Raw genomic sequence first — 14,693 nt, forward strand, 5'->3', positions numbered from 1 at the left:
GCAGTGGTGGGATCTCGGCTTACTGCACCTCCGCCTCCCGGGTTCAAGCGATTCTCCACCTCAGCCTCCCAAGTAGCTGGGACTAGAGGCGCATGCTGCTACACCCGGCCAATTTTTTGTATTTTTAGTAGAGACAGGGTTTCACCATGTTGGCCAGGCTGGTCTCGAACTCCTGAGCTCAGGCAATCTGCCCGCCTCGGCCTCCCGAACTCAGGCAATCCGCCTACCTCCGGCCTCCCAAAGTGTTGGGATTACTGGCATGAGCTACCACGCCCAGCCTGCAAATATTTCTTTTATATATATATTTTTATTTTTATTTATTTATTTTTGAGACTATCGCTCAGTCACCCAGGCTGGAGTGCAGTGGTGTGATCTCGGCTCACTGCAAGCTCCACCTCCCGGGTTCACGCCATTCTCCTGCCTCAGCCTCCCCCAAGTAGCTGGGACTACAGGTGCCTGCCACCAAGCCCAGTTAACTTTTTTTTTTTTTGATTTTTTAGTAGAGACGGGGTTTCACCGTATCATCCAGGATGATCTCAATCTCCTGACCTTGTGATCGTCCCACCTCGGCCTCCCAAAGTGCTGGGATTACAGGCGTGAGCCAGCGTGCCCAGCCTGGCCAGGCTGGTCTTGAACTCCTGACCTCAAGTGATCCACCCACCTTGGCCTCCCAAAGTGCTGGGATTACAGGTGTGAGCCACCGCGCCTGGCCCCCTCTGTATTTTCTACTCTGCATGCAAATGCGCTCTCTCAAAGCGGAGATCTGTGCAGCCACGGCAAGCACAGGGGCATGGGCTTGAAACATGTCAAAGCTGTGAAATCTCTGTATGTATGGCAGAGCACTGGCTTTGGACTCCGACGGTCCTAGGATCAAACCCTGCCTCCATCACCAATTTGGGGTATGATCGTGGGCAAGTCACTTCCCTTCTCTGGGCTTCCAGTTTCTCACCTGTAGAATGGAACACCAGCGGCCGGGCGGTGGCTTACGCCTGTAATCCCAGCACTTTGGGAGGCCGAGGCAGGTGGATCATGAAGTCAGGAGTTCGAGACCAGCCTGACCAACATGGAGAAACCCTGTCTACTAAAAATACAAAATTAGCCAGGCATGGTGGCACATGCCTGTAATCCCAGCTACTCAGGAGGCTGAGGCAGGAGAATCACTTGAACCCAGGAGGCAGAGGTTGCGGTGAGCCGAGATAGTGCCATTGCACTCCAGCTTGGGCAACAAGGCGAAACTCCATCTCAAAAAAAAAAAAACAAAAGCAAAAACGAACACCAGCTTCATAAGACAGTTGTCCCACGAAGACACCTGGAGCAGGGCAAACACCACTCAGCAGCTGCCATTATGGTGACAGAGAGGAAGGTACGGACCTACATGGAGACCATCACCTCCAGTCCCAGCAGCTGCTGCCCATCGCGGGTTGTCTACCAGCTGGTGTGGGATGCAGCCAGGGTCAGACCAGCTGTGTGGTCTTGGACAACTTATCCATTTCCCTGAGCTGTTTCTCTCTCTGTCCAACAAGGATGCGCTACACAGGTCACATGTGCGTGCCTGACAGCACATCTCGACCCTTCTCCTTCCCCTCCACCCCAGCTCCTTCAAGGACAAATTCCGAAGCTGGACACATGCCCCCTTCCTTTACTGCACCCTATTACCAGACAGCCCTTCACACACTGCCCCGTGGCTGTGCCAGGCTGGCCCAGCTGGCAGCTCCTGACGTCAGCAGCTAATCCGGGAAAGCTGCCAGCCAGAGATAGGGGTGAGCAGCAAAGGAAATCAGAAACAGGTTTTAAGATGGGTGCCCCAACCCCCCAGCCAGCCCTCAGGGAGCTTTCATCAGCCTCTCACTTAAGCAAATCCTCGCAACCATGCGTCCTGATGCCCGGTCCCCTCAGGATTAAGTAAGTGCTGAGCAGGAGGCTTTTATTTTAAGCTGCAGCTCTGTCATCAGGAGCTAGGCACACAGCAAGCCACTGCCTAGCTGTCCCATAGGTTTCTCCAAACAGAGTAGTGGGCGTCCACTCAGGTCTGGATTTCAGGCTGACTCCAGGAAGTCCAGACTACAGGGAGGTAGAGGGGACGGGGCAAAGGTCAAGGATCAGAGGTAGAGGGGACAGGACAAGGGCCTCAGTGTGTTGCCTCCAGCTGGCCCTCCCTCTTAAGGCACAAGGCCCGGTGCACCATTCCTCACTGTTCTTATGTCTTCCCAGCGTACAGCACGCAGGACGGTGCTATGGTTTGAATGTCTCCCCAGAATATATGGGTTGGAAACTTAATCCCTAATGCAATAGTGTTGGGAGGTGGGTCTTAATGGAAGGTGTTTACATCGTAAGGCCTCCACCCTCACGAATGGATATAAAAGAGCTTGAGGTGGCTGGGTGCGGTGGCTCATGCCTGTCATCCCAGCACTTTGGGAGGCTAAGGCGGGCAGATCACCTGAGGTTGGGAGTTCAAGACCAGCCTGACCAACATGGAGAAAGCCCGTCTCTACTAAAAAGACAAAAATTAGCTGAGCGTGGTGGCGCACGCCTGTAATCCCAGCTGCTTGGGAGGCTGAGGCAGGAGAATTGCTTAAACCCGAGAGGCAGAGGTTGTGGTGAGCCGAGATCGGGCCATTGCACTTCAGCCTGGCCAAGAAGAGCGAAACTCCATCTTAAAAACAAAGAGCTTGAAGCTGCACGTTGGAGCTCTTGCTCCCTCTCACCATGGGATGCCTTCTGCCACGTTATGACACAGCAAGAGGGCCCTCACCAGATGCAGCCCTCGATCTTGGGCTTCCCGGCTTCCCGAGCTGTCAGAAATAAATCTCTATTCATACCAGCACAAAATGGGGCTGGATGCAGTGGCTCATGCCTGTAATCCCAGCACTTTGGGAGGCCAAGGCAGGCAGATCATCTGAGTTAAGGAGTTCGAGACCAGCCTTGCCAACATGGTGAAACCCTGTCTCTACAAAAATACAAAAATTAGCTGGGCATGGTGGCGGGCACCTGTAATCCCAGCTACACAGGAGGCTGAGGCTGAAGAATTGCTTGATCCCAGGAGGCGGAAGTTGCAGTGAGCCAAGATCATGCCATTGCACTCCAGCCTGGGTGACGAGCGAAACTCTGTCTCAAAAAAAAAAAAAATTTCCTGTAGAGACAGGGTCTTAACTGTATTGCCCAGGCTGGCCTCAAACTCTTGGCCTCAAGTGATCCTTTCACCTTGGCCTCCCAAAGTGCTGAGATTACAGATGTGAACCACCGAGCCTTGCCTTTCTTCCTCTCCATCCTTGGCACCCAAGTCTAGTTCTTTAACCCATTTGCTCCTCCTGGGTCTTCCCAACTCCTTCCTGTTTCAGAGCCATTGCACTTGCTGTTCCTTCTGCCTGGAGTGCGTGCCCCCACATCTCCTCAGCCTCGCTCTGTTCTCAGTGCCTGGCCTGCCCATGCGCAGCAGCAGTAGCTGCTCCCCAAATATCTGCTGACCTGGCTGTGGGGAGGATAACACCAGAGCTGGGTGTGACAGCGGTGTTGTATCACCACCAGGTGGAGCTGTAGACACGTCCTGGGCGGTGACCTCGGGTCCAGCCTCCAGATCTGTCCTCTCAGCAAAGCCTCCAGGGCCCTCCGTGCCAGGCAGTGCTGTGGGCACCAGCTGACTCAGCCGCCGCCCCTCCTGCCCTCCAATGGCTACTGGCATACGTGGTCCAAGGGCTTGCACAGAAGCCTGGGAGGAAGGGAGGGCTGGCTGCCGCCCAAGGCCTGTGCTTCTAGGCTCTTTCTGGGGAGGGAGGGGACGTGGAGGGAGTTGGGTGGGGATGGTAGCTCAGCCAGGCATCTGGGATGAGGGGTTCTGCAGAGGCGTCGGACTTGGAGTCTATCTGCTGCCTGAATTTGTATCCCACCACCCCCAGTCCTCCATATGCCTTTGACAAGCCTGGCTCTGAGCCTCAGTTTCCCCATCTGTCAAAAAGAGAGAATAGACTGGGCACAGTGGCACTTTCAGAGGCCAAGATGAGCGGATCACTTGAGCTCAGGAATTCAAGACCATCCTGGCCAATATGGTGAAACCCCATCTCTACTAAAAATACAAAAAAATTGGGGCCAGGCCTGGTGGCTCATGCCTGTAATCCCAGCACTTTGGGAGGCTGAGGCAGGTGGATCACGAGGTTAGGAGTTCAAGACCAGCCTGGCCAAGATGGTGAAACCCCATCTCTACTAAAAATGCAAAAATTAGCCGGGCGTGGTGGTGCGCACCTGTAATTCCATCTACTCGGGAAGCAGAGAATTGCTTAAACCTGTGAGGCAGAGGTTTCAGTGAGCCAAGATCGCACCACTGCACTCCAGCCTGGGCGACAAAGAGTGAGACTCCATCTCAAAAACAAAAACAATAACAAAAAAATTAGCCAGGTGTGGTGGCAGGCACCTGTAGTCCCAGCTACTCGGGAGGCTGAGGCAGCAGAATCACCTGAACCTGGGAGTCAGAGGCTGCAGTGAGCTGAGATTGCACCACTGCACTCCAGCCTGGGCAACAGAGAGAGACTCTGGCTCAAAAATAAAAAAAAGTGGGCCGGGCACGGTGGCTCGTGCCTGTAATCCCAGCACTTTGGGAGGCTGAGGCGGGCAGATCACAAGGTCAGGAGATCGAGACCATCCTGGCTAACACGGTGAAACCCCGTTTCTACTAAAAATACAAAACAAAAAATTAGCACTTGTAGTCCCAACTACTCGGGATGCTGAGGCAGGAGAATGGTGTGAACCCAGGAGGCAGAGCTTGCAGTGATCCGAGATTGTGCCACTGCACTCCAGCCTGGGCGAGAGCGAGACTGTCTAAATAAATAAATAAATGTTAAATTTTTTTTTAAAATAAATAAAGAATAAATGGGCCGGGTGCAGTGGCTCATACCTGTAATCCCAGCACTTTGGGAGGCTGAGGCGGGCGGATCATGAGGTCAGGAGATCGAGACCATCCTGGCTAACACGGTGAAACCCCATCTCTACTAAAAAATACAAAAAATTAGCTGGGCGTGGTGGCGGGCACCTGTAGTCCCAGCTACTCGGGAGGCTGAGGCAGGAGAATGGCGTGAACCTGGGAGGCAGAGCTTGCAGTGAGCCGAGATTGCACCACTACACTCCAGACTGGGCGACAGAGCGAGACGCCGTCTCAAAAAAAAAAAAAAAAGAATAAATGTGGGCAAGAACTGGAACCCCATGGGGTGCACGGAGCAGGCCTGCCATATCAGGATGAGGCCAAGGAGGGAGCTTTTTCAGGGGCCTCCTCGAGTGGGGGTGGTGTGTGCAGGTACCGTGTGTGTGGGTTGGGGAAAAGGTGGGTGGACAGGAAACCAGGGGCCCCTGGGGCCTCAGCACTGCCTTTTCAAGTGGGGCAAGATCTCTGGGGCCTCCCCTGCCCTGAGGCCCAGAGCCTGAGTTGCCCGAGTGCCTGTGTCTCAGTGTGTGTACAATTGTGTCTATGTGTGTCTGTGACTGTTCCTGGGTATATGTGTGTGCGTCCAACTGCGTCTGGCAGGGTTAGCATATGTGTACACAAATGGGTCTGTGTGTGTCCTCACCAGGGACTCTCTCACCTTGACCGAGGAGTCCGCGGATCCCAGGGCACCAGGAGGTTTCTTTCTTTCTTTTTTTTTTTTGAGATGGAGTCTTGCTCTGTCGCCCAGGCTGGAGTGCAGTGGTGCTATCTCGGCTCACTGCAAGCTCTGCCTTCCGGGTTCATGCCATTCTCCTGCCTCAGCCTCCCGAGTAGCTGGGACTACAGGCACCCACCACCACACCTGGCTAATTTTTTTTTTTTTTTTTTTGTATTTTTGGTAGAGACGGGATTTCACCATGTTAGCCAGGATGGTGTCGATCTCCTGACCTCGTGATCCGCCCGCCTCGGCCTCACAAAGTGCTGGGAGTACAGGCGTGAGCCATTGCACCCGGCCCAGGAGGTTTCATATCCATGCCAGGAGGGGCCCACAGGGCCTGGGGCAGCTGCTCAATTGGCAGCTGGGGCAGTGCCCTGTGAAGGCTCTGGGGTACCCTGCTTCTGTTCCAGCCCCCTACCCCCATCCCCAGTCCCTAGTAACTGGATCTTCTCTCTCCATCTCTCCCCTGGAAGGACCCAGTGCTTCCTGATTTGCATGATATTTACATACATTTGAATTTAGATCCCTGCTTCCCTGAGGCATACAGCATTATTCTCACTCCTGCCAGAGTAGTCAAGGAGGCTGTGGACTTCCTTAGCATAAGGGAGTCCAGGGATTAAGCTGGAGGGGCCCAACACCTCCCCTCTTCCCCATACAGAGTCAGCCTGGCTCTTTTCCTGCTCAAGATATGTGATTATTTAATTAATTAATTTATTTTTTGAGACTGTTTCACTCTGTCACCCAGGCTGGAGTGCAGTGGTGTGATCTTGGCTCACTGCAACCTCTGCCTCCTGGGTTCAAGTGATTCTCCTGCCTTAGCCTCTCAAGTACCTGGGATTACAGGCGCATGCCACCACACACAGCTACTTTTTGTATTTTTAGTGGAGATGGGGTTTCACCATGTCGGCCAGGCTGGTCTCGAACTCCTGACCTCAAGTGATCTGCCCGCCTCAGCCTCCCAAAGTGCTGGGATAACAGGTGTGAGCCACCGTGCCTGGTCATGTAATTATTGAGCACTTACTGTGTCAGTTTTTGTTTTTTTGAGACAGAGTCTTGCTCTGTTGTCCAGGCTGGAGTGCAGTGGCACAATCTCAGCTCTCAGCTCACTGCAATCTCCGCCTCCCGAGTTCAAGTGATTCTCCTCCCTCAGCCTCCTGGATAGCTGGGATTACAGGTGCCCGACATCACCCCTGACCAAGTTTTGTATTTTTAATAGAGACGGGGTTTCATCATGTTGGTCGGGCTGGTCTTGAACTCCTGATCTAAAGCTATCCACCTTCCTCCGCCTCCCAAAGTGCTGGGATTATAGGCGTGAGCCACCACACCCGGCCAGATTTTTTTTTTTAATTGAGATGAGGGTCTCCCTGTGTTGCCCAGGCTGGTCTCAAACTCCTGGGCTCAAGTGATCCTCCCACCTCAGCCTCCCAAAGTGCTGGAATTACAGGCATGAACTATACCGTGCCAGGACAGCAGATGCTTTCTATGCCCATTCATTTCAACCTCACAACAGCCCTTTACGGTATCTTTACATCCATTTTATAGATAGGAAAACAGGTTCAGAACAATTAAGTGACTTGGTTGAGACCACCCAGTAAGTAGGATTTGAACCCAGCTCTGGTGAACTTTCTGTTGACACGGCTGGAGTGTGGGCTTAGTAAGGGGGCCTAGGCACTTTCTTTCTTGGCTCCTGCCCTTGAGTAACAAACCTGGCTCTTGCTCTTTTGACTCAAGGGTCACTATGTCCCCTGGGGAGATAAGAGGAGCGGTAGTGGTGGTGGTGGTAGCAGACTATTTTTGTATTTTTAGTAGAGGTGGGGTTTCACCACGTTCGCCAGGCTGGTCTCGAACTCCTGACCTTGTGATCCACCTGCCTCAGCCTCCCAAAGCGCTGGGATTACAGGCGTGAGCCACCACGCCCAGTCTGCTAAGTGCTTTTCAAGCATTTTCTCAAACTGTCTTTCCCACAACCCTTTGTGAGTTACATCTTATTATAAATCGCATTTCACAGGTGAGAAAACTAGGGCACAGCGGCCAGGTGCGGTGGCTCACACCTGTAATCCCAGCACTTTGGGAGGCCGAGGCGCGTTGATCACGAGGTCAGGAGATCGAGACCATCCTGTCTAACACAGTAAAACCCCATGTCTACTAAAAATACAAAAAAATTAGCCGGGCGTGGTGGCAGGTGTCTGTAGTCCCAGCTACTCGGGAGGCTGAGGCAGGAGAATGGCGTGAACCCAGGAGGCGGAGCTTGCAGTGACGAGATGGTGCCACTGCACTCCAGCCTGGGCGACAGAGCGAGACCCTGTCTCAAAAAAAAAAAAAAAAAAAAAAGAAAAGAAAACTAGGGCACAGAGAGGTGAAGTGAGTAGCCCAAGATCACATAGCTAAGAAATGTTACAGGCAGACTCAAACTGAGATCTATCTGGGTCCAGAGTCTGTGCTTTTATTCTCTGTGTTGCACTGAACTGAACTATCAAGAAATGGAAATTCTAGCCGGGCACAGTGGCTCACGCTTATAATCCTAGCACTTTGGGAGGCTGAGGCATGTGAATTGCCTGAGCTCAGGAGTTCAAGATCATGCTGGACAACATAGTGAAATCTCTTCTCTGCTAAAACACAAAAACTTAGCCAGGTGTGGTGGTGGGTACCTGTAGTCCCAGCTACTCAGGATGCTGCGGCACGAGAATTGCTTGGGCCTGAGAGGTGGATGTTGCAGTGAGCTCAGCTGAGATCGTGTCACTGCACTCCAACCTGGGCAGCCTGGGCAGCAGAGCGAGACTCCGTCTCAAAAAAGAAAAAAGAAAAAGGACTGCCAACTCTGGCTGGCTGGGCTGGGCTGGGCTGGGCTGGGCAAGGTAAGTCAATCTCACCTCTCGTGGGGCTGGAGGATAGACACACCCCGCATTCTAGCCACGGCCACTCTCTGGGTCACTCCTCCCCTTTGAGCCTTAGTTTCCCATTTTTTGTTTTGTTTTGTTTTTGAGATGGAGTCTCACTCTGTCGCTCAGGCTGGAGTGCAGTGCAGGGCCAGGCACGGTGGCTCACGCCTGTAACCCCAGCACTTTGGGAGGCCGAGGTGGGCGGATCATGAGGTCAGGAGATCGAGACCATCCTGGCTAACACGGTGAAACCCCATCTCTACGAAAAATACAAAAAATAAGCCGGGCGTGGTGTCAGGAGCCTGTAGTCCCAGCTACTTGGGAGGCTGAGGCAGGAGAATGGTGTGAACTCGGGAAGTGGAGCTTGCAGTGAGCCAAGATTGCACCACTGCACTCCAGCTTGGGCGACAGAGCAAGACTCCATCTGAAAAAAAAAAAAAAAAAAAAAAAAAAAAGGATTCAGGGCTGGAAGTGGTGGCTCATGCCTGTAATCCCAGCACTGTTGGAGGCCGAGTTGGGCGGATCACCTGAGGTCAGGAGTTCGAGACCAGCCTGGCCAACATGGTGAAACCCCATCTCTATTAAAAATACAAAAATTAGCTGGGCATAGTGGCTAATCCCAGCTATTTGGGAGGCTGAGGCAGGAGAATCACTTGAACCGGGAGGTGGAGGTTGCAGTGAGCTGAGATCGTGCCATTGCACTCCAGCCTGGGCAACAAGAGCAAAAAAAAAAAAAGAAAAAAAAAAAGAAAAGAGGATTCTGGTCCTCTCGTCCTTGCCCAGCTTTCCAGGGCAGCTATGAGGATAGAAGAGCCAAGGTTGCCATTTTCAAATGGTTTTTTGAAGTAGAACATCATTTTCACCCATAATCTTATCCAGAAGGCCAACATATGAAACACATAAAATGGGTGTTTCATCAGCATAAATTTCTAAGCTGAAGATGGGGACAGATCATTAGTCTAAAGTCACTCCAGAGGGTAAGTGTGTAACATCTGTGATGGACACACACCCTGCCCAGGGTGTGGGTGAAGGCCAGGATGCTGAGCTACCCCAGCACCCAGTCTATCTCTGAAGTTGTCTGTGTTGCATTGATATGAAGAAAGACTTGAAGCTTCCAGACAAAAAGCTGCTTTTAAAAAATGAATTCAAAGCAAGCTTTCGTGACAACTCTAAGGCCCAGACAGGGGCTCCAAGTGTTCACACAGCCCATCTGATGATCCTTGCCCTCCTGCCATCTGGGCTTCAGACTCCCACTTGGGGGCACAGGGAAGCTGGGGTCCACCTCCAGGGGCCCATCTGTTTACTTCTGCAGGTCCAAATCCAATGGCCAAGATCACTTGGCCAGTGACCTGGCTCCCCACAACCTCTCAGAAGCCTGAGTGCTGCAGGTTGGGCAACAGAGTGTGTGTGGAGAGGCTTTGAAGGACCGGCCTGGGGCTCAGCCGGGATGTGGGAAGCAGGGCAGGTAGGGTGAGATGGGGTAGGATGCGTGAGGGGTAGGGAGCTGGCCAAGGCCTGGGAGTATAAAAATAAATCCTGTTGGCCTGGTGACATCATTGGAGCACAGGATGTCCCTGGCAGGGGCTGGGAGTGGCAGAGGGGACATGGCAGGGGGTAGGGCAGAGAGGGTCCTGATCTGCCTGTTCTGTCTCTGGGAGCTGTGTGTGTGTGTGTGTGTGTGTGTGTGCGCGCGTGTCTGTGTTTGAGACAGAGCCTTGCCCTGTTGTCCAGGCTGGAGTGCGGTGACACAAACTTGGCTCACTGCAACCTCTGCCTCCTGGATTCAAGCCATTCTCATGCCTCAGCCTTCGAGTAGCTGGGATTACAGGTGCGTGCCACCACGCCCGGCTAAATTTTTGTATTTTTAGTAGAAATGGGGTTTCACTGTGTTGGCCAGGCTGATCTCGAACTCCTGGCCTCAACTGATCTGCAAGCCTTGGCCTCCGAAAGGGCTGGGATTACAGGTGTGAGCCACCACGCCTGGCCTCCTTTGTGTTTAGAGGGACCAGGCCTGGGTTGTCCTGGGGCAGAGAGGCTGCCAGGGCCTCCTCCCCACTAGACACTTGGGATCATTTATATTGCATCTGTGAAAACTGAGGCCCAGAGAGGGACTTGCCTGAGGCTCCGCTTTGAGAGAAATGGCAGCTTCAGGACTCCAGCCAGAAGTGCCAGCCTCTCCTAAAGTCTGGTGGGCATGGTCGGGAGGATCACTGGGGAGAAGGCTTGACCGGATGGGGGTTGGGGGATGCACCAATTGAGCCAATGCCTAGCAAGGTGCTGACAGGGGCTGTGCAGCAGACAAGCCCCTCCCACCTGGCCATCACCTCTGCGCCTCACTCACCCCGCAGAGGGACTGGGCAGGGATTAGTGCTGCTCCCATTTTACAGAAGAGAAAACCAAGACCCAAGGGGACAAAGTGGCCTGCTGCAGGCCACACAGCAAGCACATCATGCCCAGCTAGAATGGGGTCTGGTCTCTCCTGACAGTCCCCAGTTTAGCTGCTGATAGAGAGCCAGGTCCACAGCTAAGGTAGAGTCAGGGTGGGGGAAAGAGGGGTTGCCATGGAGATACAGGGAAGGGGCAGGAGGGAGCCCTGTGCCTCTGCTCTTCTCCTTCAGGTCCCTCCTACTGCTCACCCCTCCTCCACAGGGCTCACACTCTTACTGCACTGTGGACAAAATCCAGCCTCCTTGCCTGGCCAACGCTCTCTGGGCACATCAAGCCTCATCTCCCACCAAACCAACACACTCTAAGCTCAGTCTCACCAAAGAGCTCACAGATCCCTACAAGCGATTGCTATTTCAGGCCTCTGAGCAGCGGAACAAGCTGTTCCCTCTGCCGGGGATGCCCCTCCCGAATCTTCCGGGGTAACTCCTCTTCATCCTTCAAAATTCAGCTCTGAGCCCTCACTGCTCCATCAGACCTCCATGAGGATTGTGATTGCGATTGTGATATGTTTGCTGCCTGCCCCTCTTCCTGTACCAACAACTCTTTTAGGGCAGGAAGTGTACTTTATTCATCTTTCCATGCCTAGTGTCTAGCTAGGGCCTGGATGGAGGAATTAAACTGAGTCCTGATTCTTCTGTACCCTCCTCACCAGGGACTTTGTCCAAGTCACATCCCCTCTCTGAGCCTTGATTTTTATTTATTTATTATTATTATTTTGAGGCAGGGTCTCACTCTGGTTGTCCAGGCTGGAGTGCAGTGGTGCAATCTCGGCTTACTGCAGCCTCCACCTCCTGGGTTCAGGTGATTCTCCTGCCTCAGCCTCCCGAGTAGCTGGGACTACAGGCACGTGCCACCATGCCCGGCTAATTTTTTGTATTTTTAGTAGAGGCGGGGTTTTGTTATGTTGGCCAGGCTGGTCTTGAGCTCCTGGACTCAAAACAATCTGCCTGCCTCGGCCTCCAGAGTGCTGGGATTACAGGTGTGAGCCACTGCGCCCGGCCTCACTCTCTGAGCCTTTAAAATAGGGACAATAAGGCCCATTTTGCAGGGTTGCTGGAGGACAGGGTCCAATGTATCCCTTAGCAGGCAGTAAGGGATACCTGTACGGGTGGGCATGGTGCTCCAAGGTCATGATCCGGCCATTCTCTGACCAAGGCTCCCAGTCCATCCTCGTCTGCCCTGTCTTTCCAGCCTGCCCCATCAAATCCAGTCTGCCGCAGTCCCCACCTGCACCTGCCATCGCCTGCTGTCAGCTAGCTCTCTTCCCTAAAACCCTCCCTGTTCTCAAATCATCTCAAAGCCTTGAAGGTAGAGCACATTTCAAATGCAGAGGCCCAGGCCCCACTCTCAAGAGGCCTGGTGTGGAACTCCGGAATTAGCTTTGCTCAGCAGCCTCCCCGTGGCCATGCCCTTGCTTTAGGGGAGCCTCCCGGGGCGACATGGAAGCGCCCGATGATGTCCTAACCTGGGGAAACAGGGAGAGCAAACGCGGTGTGGTGGGATGTGGGTGGCCATGACCTTAGGTGGCAGCTGCCTCCTGTCCTCTGTTGCTTTCCCAAGGGTGAGGTGAGCCAGCCTCGACCAGGGGCCTCCTCGGTCCTGGGAAGCAGGCGGCTGGGCCGGCGGCTTCCTGCCTTGGCCTCGCACTTGCGCGCCGGCTGTGTGCCGCTGGGCCGCGGCCTCCTCTAGGCCGAGCTCTGTCTGCGGAGACACAGACGGGGACATAAATAACACCCAGCCTCGGCCAGGCACGGTGGCTCACGCCTGTAATCCCAGCACTTTGGGAGGCCGAGGTGGGCAGATCACCTGAGGTGAGGAGTTCGAGACCAGCCTGACCAATATGGAGAAACCCCGTTTCTACTAAAAATACAAAATTAGCCGGGCGTGGTGGCGCATGCCTGTAATTCCCAGCTACTCGGCAGGCTGAGGCAAGAGAATCGCTTGAACTCGGGAGGGAGAGGTTGCAGTGAGCCGAGATCGCGCCACTTCCCTCCAGCCTGGGCAACAAAAGCGAAACTCCATCGCAAAAATAAAAACAATAAAAATAACACTCAGCCTCGCCGCGTGAGGTCGGCGCGAGAATCGGCGGGGGCAGCCGCGGGGCCTCGGGGGCGGAAGACGCACTCAGTGGGGAAGAGCGCGCGGCCGGGCCCCAGGGCGGAAGTCCCTGGTGGAGGTGAAGTCCGAGGAGGAGGAAGAGGAGGAGGAGAAAAAGGAGGAGGAGGGCTCAGCGGTCTCGAAGCTGCGGCCCAGGCGGGGCAGGAGATGTGAAGATGCCAGGTCCCCGGGGAGGGCAAAGGGCGTGCGGGCCGTAAGGGACAGCAGAGCGGTCGGGGCCGCCCACCCGGCGGACGCCGGAGGCGAGAGGCCCCACCCCGGCTCCTCTCCACACCCCGCGCGGCCTTGGGGAGTCAGCCCGGGACTCGCTCCCGGCAGGTGTCCTACCCTCCCCCGGTCCCGGTTGGCGCGGCGGCCGGCACGGCGGGCGCGGAGGGGGCCGCGCTGGTGTCACCAGGAGTGAACAGCCCAGCTATTCAGGGAGGGGGCGCCCCCCGCTGCCCTCCGCGACCCGCGCTGACGTCGCCGCGCAGCCCGTTACGTAACCCCCCTCCCCGCCTTTCCTCGCGGGCCCGGCCTCCTCCTCCAGCGCCGCCTCGCCTGCCGCAGCGCCTCCGCGTTCCGCTTTGCGCCCAAAGGGAAACTGAGGCCCTTCTCCAGCAGAGCACGGCGGGTAGTGCCCGCGGGAGTGGCTGTGACCGTCCTCGTTAGGATTCTTGGGTCCCTAGGGGAGCCCAGACTGCGAAGGGAGCCCCAGCTCCGCCTGGGGGACTCGGCTTCCTCCTGTCTACCGCGTTCTTCCTTCCTGGCCTGGACTCTGGGGGCTCTGGAGTCTTCTGTGGCCGCTCCACCCACATTTGTGCCTGGGCCACCATGTGCCTTAAATTATAAAGTCGGGCAGTGACGCTCAGTAGGGGTTGGTTTCTCCACCTTCCTCTGGGTGACCTTAGGCAGATTTTGCCTCTCCGAACCTCAGTGTCCCCACCTGTCTAAAATGGCCCCTTCCTTCTAGTGTGGTGGGGAAGAACAGCAGCATGTCGACACCCGGTGAGTACTTAGCCAGGTAGCTGTGAACTCTCCTTATCTAACCCTCCCTGCCAGGGGCCTGCCACAGCGCCAGACCTGGGCCTGGTTAGGTGGTGCCCAGCTGGGCCAGTCAGCTCCCTGTGGACCTTGGCCTTTGCCCTGGGAGCATGCGGTGCAGGCCTGCCCTGTGGCTCAGCAGCTGCAGAATGGCTGGTGTTCTGTGGCCTGGTGATGGTGGGGAGTGGGTGCTTCCCTGTCACCTTCCTTACAAGACCCTGGGAGCACCTGAGGGTCCCTTGCGGTCCCATTCATGGTCTTACTAAGGTAGCTCACCCAGAACCTGTTTTGAGCATCTAGGAAGAGCAAGCTGTGAGATGAGGAAGGTATCTGCCCAGGCCTTCTCTGAGCTCCTCAGACACTGGGAACCTCAGTCTCTTCATCTCTTCCTTGGGCATAGATATCATACCTCCTTCCCTTCCCTCCTGCTTGGCCCCTGCCAGCATGAGATGAAATGTCACTTTCCCTACTCCCACAAATTGGCTTGGACATAAGCCCAGGGCTTTATGCTCATTTTACCTTTTTTTTTTTTTTTTTTTTTTTTTTTGAGGACAGAGTCTTGCTCTGTCACCCAGGCTGGAGTGCAGTGGTGCGACCT

The 14,693-nt window shown here is 54.7% G+C and overlaps 8 annotated features.

The window, feature by feature from the left end:
* Positions 2,016–2,160: an enhancer, noted in NCBI's record as "145 bp enhancer 178 fragment used in the MPRA reporter construct; PK_construct_2035". NCBI's record gives its function as "activates an SV40 promoter by MPRA in HepG2 cells {active_cell/tissue: HepG2}" and the evidence as "EXISTENCE:reporter gene assay evidence [ECO:0000049][PMID:23512712]".
* Positions 2,082–2,095: a transcriptional cis regulatory region, noted in NCBI's record as "HNF4 motif; enhancer activity is reduced when this motif is scrambled". NCBI's record gives its function as "necessary for full MPRA enhancer 178 activity {active_cell/tissue: HepG2}" and the evidence as "EXISTENCE:site-directed mutagenesis evidence [ECO:0005528][PMID:23512712]".
* Positions 7,900–7,949: a silencer, noted in NCBI's record as "silent region_13788". NCBI's record gives its function as "represses an Ori minimal core promoter by ATAC-STARR-seq in GM12878 lymphoblastoid cells {active_cell/tissue: GM12878}" and the evidence as "EXISTENCE:reporter gene assay evidence [ECO:0000049][PMID:35858748]".
* Positions 12,550–13,264: an enhancer, noted in NCBI's record as "NANOG-H3K27ac-H3K4me1 hESC enhancer chr22:41809006-41809720 (GRCh37/hg19 assembly coordinates)". NCBI's record gives its function as "activates a minimal SCP1, AML or CMV promoter by ChIP-STARR-seq in naive H9 embryonic stem cells {active_cell/tissue: H9 hESC(naive)}" and the evidence as "EXISTENCE:reporter gene assay evidence [ECO:0000049][PMID:30033119]".
* Positions 13,194–13,643: a silencer, noted in NCBI's record as "silent region_13789". NCBI's record gives its function as "represses an Ori minimal core promoter by ATAC-STARR-seq in GM12878 lymphoblastoid cells {active_cell/tissue: GM12878}" and the evidence as "EXISTENCE:reporter gene assay evidence [ECO:0000049][PMID:35858748]".
* Positions 13,194–13,979: a biological region, named in NCBI's record as "NANOG-H3K27ac-H3K4me1 hESC enhancer GRCh37_chr22:41809721-41810435".
* Positions 13,265–13,979: an enhancer, noted in NCBI's record as "NANOG-H3K27ac-H3K4me1 hESC enhancer chr22:41809721-41810435 (GRCh37/hg19 assembly coordinates)". NCBI's record gives its function as "activates a minimal SCP1, AML or CMV promoter by ChIP-STARR-seq in naive H9 embryonic stem cells {active_cell/tissue: H9 hESC(naive)}" and the evidence as "EXISTENCE:reporter gene assay evidence [ECO:0000049][PMID:30033119]".
* Positions 13,980–14,693: an enhancer, noted in NCBI's record as "H3K4me1 hESC enhancer chr22:41810436-41811149 (GRCh37/hg19 assembly coordinates)". NCBI's record gives its function as "activates a minimal SCP1, AML or CMV promoter by ChIP-STARR-seq in primed H9 embryonic stem cells {active_cell/tissue: H9 hESC(primed)}" and the evidence as "EXISTENCE:reporter gene assay evidence [ECO:0000049][PMID:30033119]".

This window comes from Homo sapiens, chromosome 22 (assembly GCF_000001405.40).
Source record: "Homo sapiens chromosome 22, GRCh38.p14 Primary Assembly".
NCBI classification, from domain to species: domain Eukaryota; kingdom Metazoa; phylum Chordata; class Mammalia; order Primates; family Hominidae; genus Homo; species Homo sapiens.